At 51.3% G+C, this 19,273-nt stretch overlaps 2 protein-coding genes and 1 long non-coding RNA gene across 60 annotated transcripts in view, besides 12 other annotated features; 1 reads left to right on the top strand and 2 right to left on the bottom strand.

Annotated features, from left to right (window-relative positions):
* The window catches only part of GARNL3 (GTPase activating Rap/RanGAP domain like 3), a 169,048-nt gene extending 168,761 nt beyond the window's left edge, over window positions 1-287 (bottom strand). For all 5 annotated transcript variants that reach the window (XM_047423963.1, XM_011519086.4, XM_005252268.3 and 2 more), the window contains exon 1: window positions 209-287. The gene's annotated coding sequence lies outside the window, so the exon portion shown is untranslated. The remainder of the gene's footprint in view (window positions 1-208) is intronic.
* Window positions 433-602: a silencer, noted in NCBI's record as "silent region_20298". NCBI's record gives its function as "represses an Ori minimal core promoter by ATAC-STARR-seq in GM12878 lymphoblastoid cells {active_cell/tissue: GM12878}" and the evidence as "EXISTENCE:reporter gene assay evidence [ECO:0000049][PMID:35858748]".
* Window positions 433-968: a biological region, named in NCBI's record as "H3K4me1 hESC enhancer GRCh37_chr9:129986211-129986711".
* Window positions 468-968: an enhancer, noted in NCBI's record as "H3K4me1 hESC enhancer chr9:129986211-129986711 (GRCh37/hg19 assembly coordinates)". NCBI's record gives its function as "activates a minimal SCP1, AML or CMV promoter by ChIP-STARR-seq in primed H9 embryonic stem cells {active_cell/tissue: H9 hESC(primed)}" and the evidence as "EXISTENCE:reporter gene assay evidence [ECO:0000049][PMID:30033119]".
* On the top strand, window positions 527-1,745 carry LOC124902273 (uncharacterized). Its single transcript, XR_007061792.1, has 3 exons — window positions 527-714; window positions 802-889; window positions 1,507-1,745. It is a non-coding gene; the product is annotated as an uncharacterized LOC124902273 (long non-coding RNA).
* Window positions 813-872: an enhancer, noted in NCBI's record as "active region_29036". NCBI's record gives its function as "activates an Ori minimal core promoter by ATAC-STARR-seq in GM12878 lymphoblastoid cells {active_cell/tissue: GM12878}" and the evidence as "EXISTENCE:reporter gene assay evidence [ECO:0000049][PMID:35858748]".
* Window positions 969-1,469: an enhancer, noted in NCBI's record as "H3K4me1 hESC enhancer chr9:129985710-129986210 (GRCh37/hg19 assembly coordinates)". NCBI's record gives its function as "activates a minimal SCP1, AML or CMV promoter by ChIP-STARR-seq in primed H9 embryonic stem cells {active_cell/tissue: H9 hESC(primed)}" and the evidence as "EXISTENCE:reporter gene assay evidence [ECO:0000049][PMID:30033119]".
* Window positions 1,734-19,273, bottom strand: part of RALGPS1 (Ral GEF with PH domain and SH3 binding motif 1) — a 308,385-nt gene continuing 290,845 nt past the window's right edge. For 14 of the 54 annotated variants that reach the window (XM_011519233.2, XM_047424138.1, XM_047424127.1 and 11 more), the window contains 6 exons: window positions 14,122-14,205; window positions 12,664-12,769; window positions 12,181-12,273; window positions 11,851-11,956; window positions 10,058-10,149; window positions 1,734-6,160 (listed from right to left, as the gene is read on the bottom strand). In XM_011519233.2, the coding sequence (XP_011517535.1) occupies window positions 6,131-6,160; window positions 10,058-10,149; window positions 11,851-11,956; window positions 12,181-12,273; window positions 12,664-12,769; window positions 14,122-14,205 (511 nt within the window). In that variant the 3' untranslated portion in view covers window positions 1,734-6,130. Of the gene's footprint in view, window positions 10,150-11,850; window positions 11,957-12,180; window positions 12,274-12,663; window positions 12,770-14,121; window positions 14,206-19,273 lie in introns of all 54 variants that reach the window. The other 40 variants (NM_001322325.2, NM_001190729.2, XM_047424122.1 and 37 more) reach the window with 13 other exon arrangements.
* Window positions 4,691-5,250: an enhancer, noted in NCBI's record as "H3K27ac-H3K4me1 hESC enhancer chr9:129981929-129982488 (GRCh37/hg19 assembly coordinates)". NCBI's record gives its function as "activates a minimal SCP1, AML or CMV promoter by ChIP-STARR-seq in naive H9 embryonic stem cells {active_cell/tissue: H9 hESC(naive)}" and the evidence as "EXISTENCE:reporter gene assay evidence [ECO:0000049][PMID:30033119]".
* Window positions 7,456-7,956: an enhancer, noted in NCBI's record as "H3K4me1 hESC enhancer chr9:129979223-129979723 (GRCh37/hg19 assembly coordinates)". NCBI's record gives its function as "activates a minimal SCP1, AML or CMV promoter by ChIP-STARR-seq in primed H9 embryonic stem cells {active_cell/tissue: H9 hESC(primed)}" and the evidence as "EXISTENCE:reporter gene assay evidence [ECO:0000049][PMID:30033119]".
* Window positions 7,957-8,457: an enhancer, noted in NCBI's record as "H3K4me1 hESC enhancer chr9:129978722-129979222 (GRCh37/hg19 assembly coordinates)". NCBI's record gives its function as "activates a minimal SCP1, AML or CMV promoter by ChIP-STARR-seq in primed H9 embryonic stem cells {active_cell/tissue: H9 hESC(primed)}" and the evidence as "EXISTENCE:reporter gene assay evidence [ECO:0000049][PMID:30033119]".
* Window positions 12,267-12,784: an enhancer, noted in NCBI's record as "H3K27ac-H3K4me1 hESC enhancer chr9:129974395-129974912 (GRCh37/hg19 assembly coordinates)". NCBI's record gives its function as "activates a minimal SCP1, AML or CMV promoter by ChIP-STARR-seq in primed H9 embryonic stem cells {active_cell/tissue: H9 hESC(primed)}" and the evidence as "EXISTENCE:reporter gene assay evidence [ECO:0000049][PMID:30033119]".
* Window positions 14,339-14,856: an enhancer, noted in NCBI's record as "H3K27ac-H3K4me1 hESC enhancer chr9:129972323-129972840 (GRCh37/hg19 assembly coordinates)". NCBI's record gives its function as "activates a minimal SCP1, AML or CMV promoter by ChIP-STARR-seq in naive H9 embryonic stem cells {active_cell/tissue: H9 hESC(naive)}" and the evidence as "EXISTENCE:reporter gene assay evidence [ECO:0000049][PMID:30033119]".
* Window positions 16,390-16,890: an enhancer, noted in NCBI's record as "H3K4me1 hESC enhancer chr9:129970289-129970789 (GRCh37/hg19 assembly coordinates)". NCBI's record gives its function as "activates a minimal SCP1, AML or CMV promoter by ChIP-STARR-seq in naive H9 embryonic stem cells {active_cell/tissue: H9 hESC(naive)}" and the evidence as "EXISTENCE:reporter gene assay evidence [ECO:0000049][PMID:30033119]".
* Window positions 16,891-17,391: an enhancer, noted in NCBI's record as "H3K4me1 hESC enhancer chr9:129969788-129970288 (GRCh37/hg19 assembly coordinates)". NCBI's record gives its function as "activates a minimal SCP1, AML or CMV promoter by ChIP-STARR-seq in naive H9 embryonic stem cells {active_cell/tissue: H9 hESC(naive)}" and the evidence as "EXISTENCE:reporter gene assay evidence [ECO:0000049][PMID:30033119]".

Genomic DNA, 19,273 nt, shown 5'->3' with positions numbered 1-19,273 from the left:
CGGTAACGCCCCTCCCGCGCCAGCCCCGCGGGGTTCTTGCCGCCGGCTTTCTGCACCTCTGCGAGGCCCACAGGCCCAAAACGCCCACCCTAACCTCGACTGTCCCGTCCACGACCCCACCCCTCCTGCTGCTTGCCCCTCGGCACAGACCCAGGCCCCGCTCACCTACCCCTGCACTACTGAGCTCGCGCAAGGCCCTCGCACTCACCCCAAACCTCTGCTTCCGCGAGCGTCGTCCCTTGGAGTTCGGCCTCTCCTCGCCTCAGCACCTCCTGGCCCTTTCTATTGTAGCTCCGCCCCTCGGGCCCTCCTTTCCCATGTCCCGCCCACAGGTATGGCTCCGCCCCCAGGAGCCCCGCCTTTTCCCTTCGAAGCCCCCACTCCGTGCCCGGACCAGACCCAGCTCCACCGCCTGCTCAGTTCTGCTCTGACAGGGCCCGCCACAGCCCCGCCCAGCCGCGAGAGGCCCCGCCCAAACTCGGTGGCCCCGCCCAGCCACTCCCTCCTCCCGTGCCGTCGCCCAGCCTGCCCGCAGGCTCCGCGCTGGGTAGATGCCCGCACCCGGGGCTAAAGCGGCGTTCCGACGTCCGGTCTGCGTTGGCTCCGGGATCCCGCCACCCATCAAGGGGGAGGTATTGCTGTCTCCTGGTGGCCGTTTGTGGCGCCTGACGCCTTGATGCTAAGGGGCTGGAGCTTTGCTGGATACCAGTTGTGGTGGGTTCGAGTCTTGACTGTTAGTTTCCAACTGTGACAACCTCCAACCCCATCCCCACTTCGCTAAGTCAAATGCATTCTTCTCAGGGACCTTGAACACTGCACTGTGACTGAGGGCAGCGACCCCATCTGGGTAAAGCTGGGGCCACCGTGCTGTCTAAATCAGGAGGAGGAGGTAAGCTAGGGCTACCTCGGCAAGCGGGGTTTTGTCGTAGCTAGGGAGGTGTGGCCATGCTGGCCTGGAACTGGGATGGTGGAGCAGAGCCCGAGGAGTGTGCTTGTTGGGGGGAACCTGTGCTTGGGGGACTGGCCACTGCAGATTTGGAAGGCACTGGCTGGGAAACTGAGGCAGTCCGGGCCAGGGGATCCTATAGTTAACTTGGATTACATCACCCCCTGGTGCACACTTCCTCAGTGACTTCCAGGTTCTTTCTTGGTAAGGCCTGAACTTTGTGAGAGAATGAAGGGGCTGCCCAGATAGCACCGAAAGATGTAGACGAGGTGTTTCTATTTGTCCTTCCAGCCCCTCTAGAGATGCCCCTGGTCCTCCCCTCAGGTTTCCATGAGATAACCCGTTTAAGACAGCCCTTTTTCTCCAAGCGAGGTATAATGGAGTTCTGGATTTTTGCCTAACACCATGAAGTCCTCCCAACATATCTTTTCAGACTTAAATCCCATTACTCCCGCAAAACCTGTACTCAGTGAGATCAGGTTGCCTCCTTTTTCCCAGCCTCATCCTGCTCCTTCTCATTTCTGTCTCCCTATTGCCCCCACCCTTCATGTGTTCTGCAGCCTCTGAACTGAATCTCCAAATACCCACTGCTCTCTAAAGCATCCCCAGGTCTTCTGCCTCTCTCCCTGGAGTGCCTGTCCCTTCCTGAGGATGCTGCTCCTGCAGGGTTTTTATGTTCTGGTTACGTCCTAGCTGAGTTTTGGGCACCCCATGCCTCCTTTGTGTCTATCTGAAACAGCAACTGTTTGCTAAGTGAATGTGTGTGACTTTAATAAACTGAGCAACATTCATTGGAAAACACATTTAATTTCAAAGTAAACAAAGATGTTTGTACATTAAAGTATTTAATTAGTGAAATAATTATTATCAATGTAACAAGCTGAAAAATACAGCAACTTGATACAAGACTGAGGTAACAAAATACTTCACCAAAAATCGAAAGAACCCCATGGAGGGCTGATTGACGTTCAGTGGTTACTGCGGGTGAGACGATTCACAAGAATTAGAGAAAGTCCTTACACAACTGCATGCAGGGGTCTGCTGGAGAAAAAGACAGCCCAGGAGAGTGCAACAGATTTAACAGGAAACGAATTAAAATGTAGAAACTGATTTTCAACTTACTTCGAAGAGTACATAAGAAATTGAAAACTACTCTCTATGCAACATTTTGAATGCTAAGTGGAAAACCATGCATTTTGGCACGAAATTTATTAAAGATTATACCATACTAATTAATTACTATTACTTCGTTACTGAATAGTCACAGTCGTTCAGCAATGGATAAAGAGATTAATGGTTCTAAAATGGACAGATGATCTCCTGTGTTGCTGCTGTAAGCGGGGTTTTGAGGCTGCCCAGGGGGTGTACACGCTTGTGCAGCATACGGCTGCAAGGCGGTCTGAAGTCCATGGTACAAGTTCTCAACACCCAAGAAAATGCAGTTCTCGCTCATATTGTAGTTGTATTTAACATTGAAATTAAAAACAGAAACCTATGGAGCAGATACTGTGACAGTTTGACCCTACTCTCTCATTCCACCTTTGGAATCCTTGGCGTGCCCAACTGCAGCTCTGTGCCTGGCTCTTCTGGGCCAAGCAGCCTCTAGGATAGTGACTTCATCCTCATTGCAACTGAATTTTCGCAGACCAAGAGGCCATTCAGTCTGTTGAGCCTTTTGATGCCTTTCTAGAGGAATCTATGCACAGGATTTATACTCAGGACTAGGAGAGAGGCAAAGTCTTGCCTAAGGAGATAGGTGTGGTGGGGACTGTTTGTTGAGTGGTCAGGTCCATGAGGGCAGGGATCAGATCTGACTTGTTCTCAGCATAGGCAGCACTTGCTAGTGCTGTGAATGAATAAATGAATGAATGGGTGGTTTTGTGCAGAGAATCTGTTATTTCTAAAGGACTAGGAGTTTGTTTTTTAACATGAAACCACTTGATATGTAAAAATGATGTAAAGCTGATTTAAGTCATTTATGGGCTCACAAACCAGAAAGCTGTATTTTTGGCAGTGCTCCCCAGTGGTTACAGACATCAGCAGTCTCGGGGAAGGGCTCTGGGCCCCACCTGAGGAACAGAGCAGATGTTGCTTGCAAGTGGCTTCCTGTTTCATGGAGCATTTCCGCCTGTAAAATGGCATCTGAAAAGGTACACCTCTTGGGGCTTGGGAGGTGGGGGTAAAATGATACTGGCCATCTTGGTAAGAAAAAAAATGCTCTATAAATTCAACTGGCAAAAGAGAGTGAGTTTCTTCCTAAACAGAATCTCTTCAAGTATCTACTTCCTCAGGTTCCACAGCCTTATAGGGAGGGAGGGGGCCAAAGTCTCTCACCAGGCACAGTTAGAACAAGATTTCTACTGCTCTCTACCGAATCAATCCTCCATCAAGTATGTCAGTTGCCAGAATGCACCTGACTGATCTTGAATGACAAAACATGTTCAACTGAGAGAGACAAAAATTAGTCCTAGGGAGAGAGGTGAGTTGTTCTTGAGACAACAATGTTACCAGCTACCAACTCCACAGTTGTAGACAGCTTTCTATAACTTTCATTTTGGGGTGCCATGATCCATTTGCTTAAAAAAATTCAGCATATGCATGCAAGAAATAATCCCTTCAATGGCGTTATGAACATTTGTACACTCTGGACAGTCAAGGAGCAAAAACTAGAAATGCTTCCCTCCAGGGGGAGGGTCTACCCATGGACTTTCCCGCCTTGTGGTTGGTGCCTGGCCCTCTCTGTCTCAGGCTCACAGGGTTCAAACCAACACTGGGAAGACAAGCAGCACTTAACTCCCATGTTTGGCCGAGCCCCTGCTTAGAGAGCTGAGTGTCTTCCAGCTTTAGCTCCAGGACTCTTCCGGCGTGGTCAAGCCTCTTACTGCTTCTATAAGGCTTTTGCCAACAAAATCTAAAGAGATTCTTCAAGAGTCCGAGCTAAGAATGTTCCTGGGAGAGGACGTGGAAGCAGACTCAATTAGTGAGAAGACTAAACATTTTGAATTGTGATTGTGCTATTTCAAATTAGGCTAAGAGATGTTTCTGAAAGAAAAGACAAACTTATAAGGGATAGAAAATTACCTGTTTTTGTGGTGCCTGAAATTCTGAGGTTTTGGATTGGCATCTATAATACTTCATTGGTGTGAAAAACCAGGACAGTTTGCAGAGTGGAAAAACCCAAGGAAAATAGGTAGTTGATGTTCCACATCTTGCACTTTCATCCAAACTTACGACTTTTTAAAAGTTAACAGGTAGAATCAGATTCAATGTAGGTTAAAGTGTTAACACTGCATGGTTCTGATCAGAGGTGGAGTGTTTGGCATTGTCATTCAGCCTCTAGATGCTGATTTGAATAGTCATCGGGAGAATGAGGTGCAACATCCGCGTGGGTGTGCAGAGCACCCGGTGTCAAGGTTTGATGGCATCAACTTTTATCACCTGGGAGTTTCTCTTAGGAGGAAAGTATTCTAGTCTTTGCTCAAAAAGAAGATGAACTACTAAGCATTGTAAGGCTCAACTACAAAATGAGGCCCTGGTGACAACTACTTTCCTCACCAAGCCATTCAAATTTCTAAAGAAGTTGTCATTATTTGGTCAAAATACAGTGGTGGGTCTTTTGGTCGTTTTGAAACTGACCTATTACACTTTACTGGTGTAGATGTTGTTCTGAAACATCCAGCCCAGAAACTCTTGAGGGTAGCTTGATGCCTGATCAGTCTGAGCTCTGAAACCATCACAGCTGCAAGGACCCAGAAATTCAGTCTCTTCCAGAAAACTGTTTAAGGGTTAACTTCTCAGAGTTAGGCTATCCAAACTAAAGGGGAAGAGGGAAGAGAAGATACTATGATAAAGAGTGATTTATTATTCTGAATAAAAATTATTTGTGCAAAATAAAAGTCACTTTAAAATGTGACACAAGGTGACAGATAAGGATGTGATTCATGTGAAGAGCTCCTAACTGAATGCAGAGGTTGGACCGTTCACTCCCCGGGGCTTCGCTCTATTGTCACACGGTCATCAACAATTGTGCCCTTGGACTTGGAAAATGGAAAACTTGCTGGTGACTGCATTTGGGGCCAAGACTGGGGAAGCTTAAGGCCTCAGGGTCACTCAGCTTCCCGTCATGATCAGGAATCTTGGTGGGCCCCACCCTGGCAGTGCAGGCAAAGGAGTGAGATGATGGGGGCACAGGCTTTGCCCTGCGGGGAGAGGTTGGTGCCTCATGGCTCCTGCACAGCTGATCACTATGAGCACGTCGGTTGGAGCTGCAACGTCACAACTTCCCATTCTGGCATGGTGGGAAGGGCGAGAAGAGGAGGGCCTCAGGCCCTGCTAGGAATGGGGAAGGGAGGAAGCAAGCAGGCCAGCAGCCCAGTCCACAGTCCTGAAGCCAGGTCCTGTCTCAGAAGGGCTGACAGCAAAGAGGCCTGGAAGCAGGCCTTCCAGATGAATAGCACCCATAGGAACAGAAAACAAGACACAATTTAAGGCATTGTTTGTTTACAGTAAAAGAATGCGAGGGACCCTTGACACAGGAGGAATCTAGGCTCTCACCCTGACCTTCCTCGGTGGACAGGGCTATAACTTAAGGTTAAAGCAGGGCCTCAAAGCGAATGAAGTGTGTGATGTCACGAGTCTTGTGCCAAAATGCATGTTTCTTGAAGAGTTCACACTCGCTCACACACACACACACACGTACAGCACGCACACGCAGAGGACGCTTCGGGGTTGTACAAAATCTGAGGCAGCCCTGTGGGCGAGCAACCCCATGCACTTGGGGTGTAAAAAGCCTGTTCCACAGCTGTTCCTTCTCTCGGGCCCCTCTCACAGGTTAGTTAGCGCTGTCCACTCTGTGCAGTAGAAAGCACTGAGAACCCAACGTGGGCCGGGTGCTCTCTAGTCGCAGATGCAGGTGGTGGGCCCAGAGAGGGCGTGTGGGGTCTGACCACTGCCCCAAGAGGCGGTGCTGCAGAATGAGTGTCATGAGAGTCGCTGGGGACTGACAGGTGGATCCCACACTGGTGAAGCCCTCTGGGATGGTGAGGCCACAGGCCGTGTCCCCTGAGTCCAGCTGTGAGTTTCCCAGCACCCTGGCTCACAGCCTGTGCCCAGGACTGCTCTTCACCACCAGGCCCAGCCTGGGTTCCCAGAAGCCTCTGAAGTCATGCCACGTCCTGCAGAGACTTACTCAAATGACATAAGGTTTGCAGGTACCTAGAAGAGAAAGCTCAGCCTCTTGTTAAAGTTCCGACCTCAGAGAAGGACAAGGGGTGGTGGTCCCTAGGGGAAGGGACAGGCCTTTCCCCGTGAGTCTGGGAATGAGCAGGTTGGGTAGGGAGAGGGTATGGCAATAACAATAGCCACCCCATGTGAAGTGGCAGCTGCGTGCCAGGCACTGCTCTGAATCCACCGCATGCACTGCGTTCTTGAGTCCTCACTTCAACCCCTGGGGCAGGCACTGGGATCGTCCTCATTACAAAGACAGGAAACTGAGGCTTAGGGAGGTTCAGTACACAGCAAGTAAGCAGCAGGGCTAAGAACCCAGAGCCCATGCTCTTAACCTATCTCCTTCAGTGAAAATCAAACTGCGCTTGGGGCAGAGAGACAAATCCTGAAGGCCTGAGGTGTGTGCAGAGGGTGGGTGGCTGGAGTTGGCAAAGGGAAGCATGGGAGAAAGAGTCAGTTCAGGGATATCAGAAACCCCAAGACCTTCCCACAGCTCTGCCCTCAGGACAAGATCCTAGACCCCTTTACTGGCGGGACCACTAGCCCCAAGGTCAGAGTGTTTCTGCCACCCCCAAAAGCTGCCAACAGGTCCTCAGCCCCAGACCTCCTCCCTCAGCACTGCTGTGGGAGGATTTGATTAGAAATAATTTCATTTAAAAAAATCCATTTTGGTGTCAGTTTGGTCAAACTATGAATTAGGAAAAAAATGCATCTCCATGTACCAGGAGACAGTTATAAGAATGGTCATTAGCAGTACTGTTCACTATAGCAAAAAAGCGGAAAATCAGTCCTGGGATGTCCAACAGAAGAACTAATAAAAACAAAATGAGTAAAAATAAATGAATGACTGCTACATGTGGTAACACAGATGAATCCTAGGAACATGTTACAGGAGAAAAGCAAGACACAAGAAAATGCATCTTTATGGTTCTATTTATAAGAAAGTTTAAAAATGCACCCCAGACAACACATGAAGGAATCAAGTACGTGACCTGCAATTCTAAAGGAATAATCAGCAAACAAATCAGGAGAGTGGTGCTGGGGCACAGGTGGGAGGGAGAGAAACCGAATTAGGAAGAGGCCATGGTGAGGGACAGCATTCCAAGGCCCTGGTGGCTCTGCTGTTAGGCTCATGGTGGCAATAAGGTGTTTTATTGCTGTTGTTTATACCTATACATATGTTATAGATAAGGTTTAAGTGTATTCAGTGTTAATAAAAACAAGTTTAGGACATGCAGTTCCACAGAACAGAAAATCACTCTAGTCACTGCGATGTTTCCTTGTGAATAGATGCATTTCTGTCACACTCTTTCTTACACCCTCCTGGCATTCCATCACACGGATGTACTGTGATTCACTTAAATCATCCTCTGCTGTTGAATATTTCAGTTGTTGTCAACTTTTTATTATTACATATAGCACATAGTGGGAATATTTGGTTGAAAGTAAATTAGAAATAAAAAAGGGGGAAAGTAGGAAGAAAAATCCCCTCCTCCAGGTCTGAAAATCAGACAAAAATCCTTAAAACTTGTAGCCTTGCCATGCTACACCACATCTGCCAATACATGAAACTGACCCATTAGTGCTCTGCTGGATCAGCCTGCCCAGGCACTGCTGCCTGCTGGGGCTGCTGTCATCCTCTGGCCGCTCCTCCAAAGAGGGACAATGGGTTTTACTCAGGGCTACCACTGTTGCTCCTGACTGGGGCCACCATGGTGCCCAGGCTTCAGGCACAGGGCCCTGCCTCCTTCCCCGCACCGCCCTCCAGGTGGTCCACCTCGTGGCTGTCAGTTCCTGTTGGACCTGGAGCTGCTCCGGCTTCCTGTGTGTGGTAGGGGAGCTTCAGTGTGCTATGCTCTTAAGAGAGCGGCCCTCAGAGCTACTGAGGGACCCCAGACACACATGGTGTGACCAGTATGGAGGAGGCCAGGATGCTCTTCCTCTCTTAATGCAAGCTGGGGCGGCGGCAGCCTTGTTCAGGTCTTGGCACCTTGTCTCAATGGATCACCTTGAGATGGCTGCCGACCAAAACCCTTGTCTTCCTGTCATACGGATGGCCAATTACATTTATTCAGTGTACAAACTATACATAAAGCTCTCTAGAAGCTACAGAATTACCATTTCTTGTGTATCATCTTAGAACTTTTATACAGATGAGATCATCCTTTCCAAATGTTTTTGCCCTGATCTGCCTCTTTCTAATAACTATCAAGTGTCACACAATAGGGTCCCCCTAAGGGTCACAGAGGCTTCCAGGGTTTTGGTTCCTATCAAGAACAATGCTGCAGTGAACATTCTTAAACACATCTTTGAGCACATGTGTGTACACATCCCTATGACAAATTCCCCGAAGTCAGATGGGTGAGTCAAGGGAATCAAGTGCAATCTATTTGGAACCTCCCTGTGGCACCTCATGTTTATTCTTGTATTGGTCTTGTCCTGTTTTAGTTGGTCGAGGACTAATTCTGAGAACTTGCTAATTCTGCTTTCTAACTTATCATCTGTAATTGCAATCAGCTTCTTGTATTTGTCCTCATCTGTGTTACAGACCGAGCTGAGCACAGAGCCCTAGGACCTGTCACTGTCACTAGAGACCTCCCTTCAGCTTCCAGAACCACTTGGAGGGACCAGGAAGTCTGTGACTGTGCCACGTGGCACCATGAAGTCCCCATCCTCCTGGACCCAAATGCCTGGTATGAACTTGCCTTTGCTGAGGTCCCCCAGACTTCAGAGCTGCTGCCTGCAAGGGGCCTGCTGAGTCTACTCCCAGGCACTACGCCTAACTGTCCTCCTTGAAGCGCCACCCTCTATGCCATGCGCCTAGCCCTCCCAAGATGGGCTAGGAGAGGACTCCTGCTTCCCCCGCTCCTCCTCTGGCTGATCCCTGGGGAAAACACACATGGACACTTAGGGACAGGAGCATCAGTGCTGCCCACCTGACCCCCAGGGAGCAGGAGGCTTCAGCCCGCCCCCATCTGCTGCTGAGGGCTCAGGTAGCCATTTCTCTCATAAGCCTTGACAGCTGGGGATGTGCTTCCAGTCTTTTGCTCAGCTGCAGGGGTTACCAGGGAAGTGGAGGCAGGAGAGGCAGGAGGGCTCAGGGGCAACAAGCAGACAATCGGGGGAGTCAGGCAGACCTGGGTTCAATCCCAGCTCCACTGCTCACTAATGTGGGACCTTAAATGTGTGTCTGCCCCTTTCTGAGCCTCAGGACCCTCAGCATAAAACGGAGACAGTAAGAGAATCTACCTCACAGGGATGTTGAGAGAATTCAGCCAATTCCTGCATGGGAAACATTTCGCATAACACCCTTCGTGGGACGGCTGGGGGCGACCAGGGGAGGGGGCCATACCATGAGCCAGGCCAGAGAGGGCCTATGTCAAGACAGATCCTGCTGGCTCAAACACACTGAGAAGCTAGGGACCCCCTTTCACCAGCAGCTTTGCGTGGTCCATGGCTGGCTGTCAGTAAGTTAGCTAGCCGCATTATTCCCAAGGGTTGTGGGGCAGGGAGGCCCTTTAGTGAGTCTGGAGTATTCCCATGAAGTCAGCTCTTGGCAGGGATGACCTAAATAGATGCTAGAACCTGATCCTGGGGTGATATCACAGCTGCTCATAATCATCCCCCAGTGGGTGTTTCTGTGGCATTTCCTATTGTGGGAAAGACACAGGAACCAGATTCAAAGTTCTGGTCTGGAGCTGGGCTTAGTTCTAAGCTGAGCAAGGGGGTGCCTTGTCTCAAGGGAAGATGCTGATCAGAAGAGGGTATCTGAGAGTGTGGCTAATGGGCTCTGAAAGAAGAAGGGAACCCTGTTTTCTAAAGACCCTTAGTTCCAAGGGTGGGAGAGGATATTTCAGGTGACAAGCAGGATTTTGATGACTTTACCTGAGGCCTGTTGCTTTTACATGCATCATCCAAATGCTTGTGCCACAGTATTGCATGAAATCGGGAACCAGTCTGAAACTTGTAAACATTGCCTGATGGGTAGAGAAACCATGAGTTAAGAAGAGGGCCACGTAGGAGGGTCAGCTGGTGACTGGCATAAAGAGAAATGTAAACACGGGTAACTAAAGTGGGAAGGTCGGCCCCAGGTGAGCTGGAACATGCAGAGAAAGCAGCCTCCAGGGCTCCCTCCAGTGGTCTCTTTGGACCATGGCTTGTAACCATTTTGGGGCCATGGTGCCTTTGGCTGTCTGGTTAAGCCTGTGGACAATCCTCAGAATAATGTTTCCAAATGTATAAAATACAAAGGAAATCGATAATACTCAAATACAGTTATTAAACAACTAAAAAACAAACCAGCAGTATAATTCTATAGGTGCTTCTATATTAAAGCACTAAAAACAGATCTAGTACGGTCCGATACTGCACTGTAAAAGAGATGAGCATAAGTGACATTTTGAAATGTCTGTAACAATATGTGATTCCTCTTGGAGATAAAAATCACAGGTATTGCTAACATTTTTGTTGATGGATGCTTATACTCATAACTGAAGTAGTCACAAGTAACTGAAAACAAAGATGCATTTTTTTTTTCCACCCAAGTTCACAGACCTCTTGAATTCCATCCATGGACCCTGGCCACCCCTTGTGTCACATTTCCTTAAGAAACCACTGCTAATCCGGTCCAGACTGTTGAGGGAGGAAGAAACTCAAATGGTATCCAAACTCAGGACACACTGCCACATGTGTGCAACAAATGTGGCTTCAGTCACTCAGACACGGAGCAGAGAACTTGGTAATTTATCTCTTCCCCATTCCAGGCTCCTGGAGGCTCCCTTTGTTTCTCTGCTTCTCAGCTAAGAACATTAGAGCCTGACACTCAAGGCATGGTCTCCCCACCAGCACTGCCATCTGCATCGCCCGGGAGCTTGCTGGAAATGCAGAATCTTGGTCTCTACCCCCAGATCTGTTGAATCCAAATCTGAATTTTAATCAATCCCCAGGTGATTTGTGTGTTCATGAACCCTACAGTAGAACATTCCTGTTAAGGTGTGAAAATGCGTGGGGATTTTCCAGCCCAAATCAGTTTGCCTGGTTGGAATCCAACTGACCCAGGCAATTTTGGGTTTTTGTCATGTGACATGGGTTACTGAGGAGACCCACCATAGTCTGTTCTGAATGTCAGTGAAGACAGGGCTACTGGACAGGATGGCATCCAGAATCTCTCCTCCTTCCCAGCATGATCATGAAGTGGGAACCGGGAGGAACTGGGAGATAGCTAGAGAAGGCTGGAGCTTTGGGAAGTTAAAAGGGTTCTTCTCTGAGTTGGCCTTGGAACTGGACACTGCCAGAGTCTTATGGCACAGGCATGTGAGGGGATCCCTGAAATCTCCCCAGAGCCAAGACCCTTCCAGCCTCATGGCCCTGCCTCATCCAGCCTTACTATTTATTCCAAGACCGTAAGACTACAGCTCCTGGAGTGATGGGCCCCAGCAGCCATAGGTAAGGCTGCAAAAAGGATTCCAGCACCCTGTGCCTCATACCCTTCTCAATGGACATGCCAACCATGATCTATGCAGCTTTTGTGGACTAGCATGGACCCCATGAACGTCAGAATCTAAAGCAAAGGGAAGGCAGCAGCCTCAAAAGCTCCTAATAATTTCAAAATGCACGCTGTGCAAGAGAGGAAATGGGCAGAGAGCAGCTGCAGGCGCCAGCTCTGGCCTGCTGCCTACCTTTGTCAGGGTTGTTCAGCTGGAAGATATCTGGGTGCTCGGGGTCATCGGGCAGCTGCACCATCCAGCCCACGATGGAAACCTTTTTGCCAGGTGTGGATTTATACTGGAGGAGAGCAACAACACATCCGGAGACCGGGGCCCAGCCCTCCACTCCACAAGGGAGGCCGACGTGGGCCAGGCAAGGCTTCCTCCCTCCCCTGCCGCCTTCCCACCTGCATCCTCCGCAGTTCACACAGATCCCTTTCCCACCCCCATCCTCCACAGTTCACAGAGGTCCCTTCCCCACTAGAGGAAGTCCCAGCACTAGAGTCCTTTCAAGGGACTTACGTGTTTTCTGTCTGTGCCCCGCAAGGACTTGGCTCCGTAGTACAGGAGGGTGGATCCTGAGAGTATGACCCAGTACCTGGTCCACGAGGACAGCTACAGAGGAAGGGGAGGCTGAGTGATGCCACCAGGGGTCGTGGGGGTAGAGGATCCCTGGCCGATTACAGACCCAGCCATCCCATCAATGCCAGTGCAGGCCCCATCTCTTCCCTGGCCCTCCACCACCCCCTGGCAATGCCAACTTCCACCTAGGACCAAGACAGGAGGCGTCTTCCCTCCCGTCTCTTGCTCCTTTACTCAAGGAGCCTTCCCTTTGTTCATTTTACGGCAGTGTCAGGTATAATTCCTGAGAGTTCAGCTCGCTGCATGCCCACTGCAAGCAGAGCCTCTGCCATGCATGTGACTTTTGCTGAGACCTCTAGGAGTGGGCACTATTTACAGATGTGGAAGCCCCTGCTGCCCCGGTGGATGTGGGTCTGTACTTACCGCAGGCTTCCGCCCTTCCTTGAGCAGGGTTTTTCTTCTCAGAGGCCCCTCCATGGTGGGCACAGCTGCGGAGTTCCCCAGAGAACAGATGCACGGGCCGGTGGGGCTGAGGAGAGACTACCAGTCAGACATCGCCCTGGAGGAGCTGAGGTCAAGCACCCTCTCACTCACTGGGGACCACAGGTGCCCCACTACCAAGTCCATGACATCCCAGCAGTCCAGACTTAACGGCGCAGAGCAAGGCCCGGAGGGGAGGGCCAGGTGATAACGCACATGAAGGGCCCACCGCCAAGGACTCCCACACCTGTCTCTGGGGCTGCAAAGCTCCAGGCTTGGTGACCAAGTTCCTCATAACCCAGGCCCTGATCAGCACCCCCACCCTAAGGGATGCTTTTGTCACGGCTACAGCCTGGCCGCTCCCTGGGGCTGGCGTGGGCTCCTCCACACCTGAGGAGCTGGTGCCTGTGAAGCCCCAGCTCCAGCAGCCCCTCCTTCTGGTGTTGGCAGGAGCCTCAGAGAGCAGCGAGGAAGGGAAGAGGTGGTGTGGAGGGACAGGAGGGACGCGAGCCCACACGCACCATTCCCCACATCTTTCCCGGGCTCTTCACTCACCCTCTCCCTTGGGGACTCAAGCACCACCTACAGATGAAGGCGTCCAAGGGCATGGCAGCCCACACCTCCCTCCTGAGCTCCGGATCTGCCGGTGCCTCAGGAATGGCACCACCCCCTACTGGCTGCTTCAGCCAGAAAGCGGGGATTTTCTTCCTCTCGGATGCCCCTGCAACCTAATCAATCCCAAGGATGCACTGGGGATCAGGCACTAAATATGTCTGACCATCCATCTTCGCCATCCCACTACACCTCAGGCCACTGGACCTTCCTTCGAGCCACTGCCCAGTGCGCTCCACGGGCCTTCCTGGGTCCACACCGGCCAGTGCCTCCACCCTCCCCCTCTCCTCTCCTCCACCTGCCCACAGCAAGCCCCTTTCATGGCTTCCTGTCGCTTTTAAGATCTGAGCCACCATTCTCACCCCTGCTGGATGATGCATGCTGGATGTGGCTCCAGCTCATCTCATGTCCCTGCCCTCTCTCATTCCTTCCAACACTCCCTTCCCTTCACTCGAATCACCCAGCTCTTCCTGCCTCATAGCCCATGCTGTCCCTTTGCTGGGAACATTCTCATTGCCCCTCCACTTCCAATTATTTGGCGAATTCCTATCATTCTTCCAGTCTCTTCTTCAGGGAGGCCTTCCCTGATCTCCCGAACCAAGTAAGCTCCCCCTCCTCTTCCTGAGTGCCCCTCACCTCCTCTGGGACAGCCAGTGCACCTGGCAGTAGACTCATGTAGGCAAAGGCTGTGTCTGTTTCTTTCGGCAGCCTCTAGCACAGTGCTTGGCATCCAAAAGGCCACATAACAAGCTATGTGTCAAACAAATGAACACATGAACACATGAATACCTGTAGACACAGCTCCGGGTTCTGGGAGAATTCCTAACTGGAACCCGCCAGTTGGGCCCCAGGGTGGCATAGAGACGTCCCCTGCTTCAGAGGAAAAGGGTTAAATTTTAGCAACAGCTTTGAAAGACCAGATGCTCCTGAAGGAGGCAAGAGCACCCCGACAACATAGTCAATTAGCTCAGGAAGTCCCGCAGAGCAACCTCCCTCCCTCCCCAACTCCTCCCCAGCCTCCTCGGCCACACTACAAGCACACCTGGAGCTGCCAGGCCAGTAAACACAGCACCCCTCAGAGTCTCCAAGTCTCCGCGTAATTCTTTCAACTTTTTATTGAGTGTTCACCCTTTTTCCAGTGTCAAGAGCATGATTAAAATCCAGGCACGCCCACTTGCCTCAGCATGGGGCTGAGATGTTTCATAGCAAACACTGTACAGCCCAGATAGTCCACGGCAAGTCCACGTGAAAAGTGCACACAGAATTGTGGGCAACCTTGCATGTTGGGCCTGGGGGTCATTCACCAGGACACAACCGGAGCCTTCTGTTTGCTCTCGACTGGACAGTCTCCTCTGCGGCTCCAGCCAGGCCCCTGCAAACTCGCTCTGTGACCTGCTGCAGCATCCAAGAGTCCATGCTCCAAGCTTGCTCCGTGGGCGGCCCTCTGGCTTTCCTCTCACATGCACTCCCCAGCAGTGAGCCTTTCCAGGGCAACGTGCAGCTTCCTGTTCAGCCTCTTCGCGGGGAGGCACCCTCTTTCTCCTTTAGCCTCTCTGTCTTAGAAGACTCACTTCCCGTATCCACTTGATGTTCCAACCTTCTCCCCACCCTTGAGGCATGGCCTATTCTCTGACCACAGCTCTTCTTGCCCGTTGGCCAGACAACAATGTAATCAACTTAATAAAGTCAGATGAGGCCCAGAGTTCCTTTGTAAGATCCCCTCAGTCCTCCATGGTCAGCCGTTGCTCTGTGACATCAGTACCTGTGGGTAGTGTGGGGCCGCCCTCACACATTGCAGCAGGTACATCGTACCTGCCCAGGGGCCTTTGTCCTCCTCCCAGGAAGGAGCTCTTCTTGATGGCCATCTCGGGTCCACTGTCCAGGGGCCCAATTTCAGGGCTGGTGGGAGTCTGATGGTTAGCTGGGACGGCTGCTCCAGGCCCCCGAGCCTCCTGCCCATCGGCTCCTCCTCTCTGGGTGATGGTATACCATAGCATGTGCTTGGACCCCCAGTCCTCTAACCTAACGGGTGTCAGGGTGGTAATAGGCTGACCCCACCACCACCCATACTGAGCTGTAGCACAGACAAGAGAGGCCCTGGTGTGCTCAACTCCCAGGCCACTGGCCCAATGGCCACCTCCCTCTCAGAAAGAGGGGTGGAGTGCAGCAAGTGAACATGACTCATGCAGATAACCATGATTCTCTCATTTTGGACAAGTCAAACAGTCACCAACTTCACTGTTACCGGCACCACATGCTGGGCACCTCGCAAGTGAGTGCACTAGCACGGCCAGGTCGCTAGCCCATGCAGAAGCAGCACTGCTCAGGGGAACTGGCCACGGCTACCTCCGGGGCTGCTCTTCTTCCAGCCCCGGGGCTTTCTTCTGAGAATCACCGGGGATTTCTTCTGAGCAGGGTCTGACAATGGACTTTCTTGCAGTGAGATCCTTTGTGGCTTTGTCTGCTATCCAGGGATGTTTCCTCCTCACCTGGGCTGGATTCCAGCTCTGAGCTGCTGACTGTTGGGAGTTGAGGATGGAGTCCCCCTTCCCAGAGCAGGGCCCTCTGGCCCCTTTGCCACTTTTCTTCTCGTGAGTCTTTTTCCCCGCTACCTGAGGAGAATGTGATGCCAGTGGACTGTCCGGAATTCCCACAGTACCTGAGACAGGGCATGGTGGCCAGCGTGGCTACCTTCTTCCCATCATTCTCTCCCTTTGCGTGAGACAGTGCGTGGCTTTGTATTTCACAGATGTTTGAAGGAACTGACATCTGTTGATGGAGAGCTTGAAACGAGCATCTTCCAAGCAGGCTAGCCTCGTAAGCAGCCTTTCCTCATGTCCTCCCTCAAGGAGTGAGGAGTGGACTGGCGGGGAGCACAGGGACACCAGGGGTCTCTGGGTGGGCTCTTGACAGATCAAGCAGTCACTAGGTAGTGAGTGCTCACATGCTCTGATGCTCCTGCAACTTCATCGAGTGCACTCGCGCTGCCACCGAAGCTTTGTGTAAAGCACCCTTACCGTCCCCACAATGAGGAAACTGAGGCTCAGTGATGTGAATCTGCTTGACCAAGGCATGAGCCTTGTAAGCTAGGACTTGAACCCAGGACTGTCTGACTCTGCAGCCCAAGTTCCTCACCACACTGTGAGATAAAGCCTTTCAGGATAAGGGAGAGGCGGCAGCATAAACATGGTGGGGTCTGTCATTGGGACTGGACCCACTGTGGGGGCCCTTTCTGGCATTATCCTCTCAGAGGCACCTCTACTTGTGGGTCCCCACCTGCACTCACGCTGCCTGGGATTTGTCAGTGTCTGAGACCGAATGACCACAAGATTCTTAGGCTTGGGGATCTCCCAGAATAGGGCCACCTCCAGGTCTCCTGGTCCCTTGGTGGCCCCAGTGGAGCAGTCTCCTGGCAGTTGCTGCCTGGCACTGAAGAGCAGCTGCCTCTACTCAACTGCACGCCACGTGCCAACTACATGCTTTCACACAAGAGCATGCCCAGCTCTGTGAGAGGGGCCCGGTTCTCACAGTTTTAGATGAGGAAACTGAGGCTCAAGGAGGTGAAGCCACTTGTCCCACCCTGCTGGCCTGTCATTAGAGATAGAGACTCAAGTGTTCACAAAGGGAGGCTCATTTTCTGGTGCGGGTGGAGGGCCTGTGCCGGGGTGGCTGCTCCAGGCTATGGAAGTCAGAGCCTGCTCTCTCTGGAGCCACGGGGAGCGACCCCAGGCCTTGAAGGGCGGCACCAGTGTGACCTTTCTCCAGGCCAGCCTTTAGGAACACAGAGTTAGGGTGGAAGTGGCCAGCCTTCCCTCCAGGTGAGTCCTCCAGAGCTGGAGGAGGACCGTGCTGGGCAGGGCAACTCTGGCTGCCTGGCAGGCCAGCATCAGCATAGAGGAGCTAGGATCTTCAGCCACTGGAACCAGACAACCGAAAGTGTCTGGAAATGTCCCTGCTTTGAGAAAATTTGTTATTTGAATGTTCAGGGCCAGAAAATGCAAAATGATTGGGTGGTGGTATCAGAGGAACCCCAGAAATCATAGTTTTTGTTTGTTTGTTTGTTTGTTTTTTGGTAACTGACATAGGGGCTCATAGCCCAGAACCACAGACACCTTTCCCAGTGTCATTCTGAGAACCTGTGGCTGAACACAGTGTCCTAGGAAGGCCGTTTGACTAAGATCCCTCTCAGGGATCTTAGGTGGAGTCAGAAGGAGGACTGCAACAGGCAATTGAGGCTTGCCCAGACCAGGAGCTTGTGGGAACCTGGGTCTGGGGAAGACATCGACTGGCAACAAAGTAGAACACTTCAGTCCCAAGGGGTGTACAAGGTGATGATGAGCAGGAGGATGGGGTCATGGGATGATGATAATGATGGGACAATGAGATGATGGGATAACGATGATGGTGGTGGTGGTGGTGACAGTAAAAGTGGGAGGATGAAATGAGGATGGTGATGGTGGTAACGGTGGTGGTGGTGATGAGACAATGGGTGCCAGGCAATGTGCTAAGCAGGATTCGCTCAGCATCTCATTTATTCATATAACACTGTGAGGTAGGCACTATTATTATCCCCACCTTATAGATAAAGAACCTGATGCTTGGAGACGTAGAGTCACTTGCCCAAGATCACGACACTGGGAAGAGGCAGAGTAGGTGGTGCTATTGAGGTGGAAGTGGCCAGGGCACTTCCTGAGCCAACAGCATCATGAGAATTCAGACTAGTCAAGCAGGTCTGAAAGGCCATCTTCACTCCATCATTTTCTAGGTACACATTAGGTTGTAGGTATCCTGGGGCTTACATTTCATAAAGCCCTAAGTCCCTGTTTCTGGGCTAGGAGGTTGGAGAGCAACCTCCCCAGAAAATAATTATGTTGAGGCCTTGGTAATCTTGGTCTTAGTAGAAGTAGGATCCCTCCCTGATATGGTTTGGCTGTGTCCCCACCCAAATCTCATCTTGAATTGTAGTTCCCATAATCTCCACGTGTCATGGGAGGGACCCAGTGCGAGGTAACTGAATCATGGGGGTGGTTACCCCCATGCTGCTGTTCTCATGATAGTGAGTGAGTTCTCACAAGATCTGATGGTTTTCTAAGGGGCTCTTCCCCCTTTTGCTCAGCACTTCTCCTTGCTACCACCATATGAAGAAGAACATGTTTGCTTCGCCTTCCACCATGACTGTAAGTTTCCTGAGGCCTCTCCAGCCATGCTGAACTGTGAGTCAATTAAACCTCTTTCCTTTATAAATTACCTAGTCTCGGGTATGTCTTCATTAGCAGCGTGAGAACAGACTAATATACTTTCCCTAATCTTCTGTACACAGAGCCCCAGCCTCAAGTCCACAGAGCCTGGGTAGGAGTGCACATGTGGAAGGGCCCAGGTGATGCTACTGATCAGCAGTGTCCACCTGCGCCTGCGCACCCTGGATGGGAAGCCATCCAATTAGGCCATGGCCTATGCTGGCCACTTTCTGATGCTTCACTCTCATCTTCAGGCAGGAAGCTGCTACCCTGAATTCTGCTGGGCCCTGGGTTGTCCCTTCTAGCAGCAATTTTTGAAGGACATTTGCTTTCTATGGGCCACCCACTCTTCTCTGGGCAATGTCCCTGATTCACTAAGTGGGTCCCTAGGAACCACATTTGTACTGTATGTCCCCATCCTTCTGACAGCTAAGTGGACAGGGCAACACCAGTGATCCAAGCCAGGTATGCCAGATCTTCTCTCCTGGTGATTAGGAACCAGATCTGAGAGGCTGAAAGTGAGGCTCAGTGGCTGGGCGAAACTATCACATGTAAACCTGGGAGGCATCCCAAGTTGCCATGAGGCATCATCCATCTTCCCCTCTGTGCACTGAGAAGTTCAGAAATCTTGTCTGAGAGAGAGTGGGGAGGGGTAAAGCAGATATGCACAGAGAAGGATGGACACAAGATGGAAGGAGCGTCCT

This window comes from Homo sapiens, chromosome 9, assembly GCF_000001405.40.
Source record: "Homo sapiens chromosome 9, GRCh38.p14 Primary Assembly".
Lineage (NCBI taxonomy): Eukaryota > Metazoa > Chordata > Mammalia > Primates > Hominidae > Homo > Homo sapiens.
Note: the sequence above shows the minus strand (reverse complement) of the source record. Positions and strands in the feature narration are given on the sequence as shown.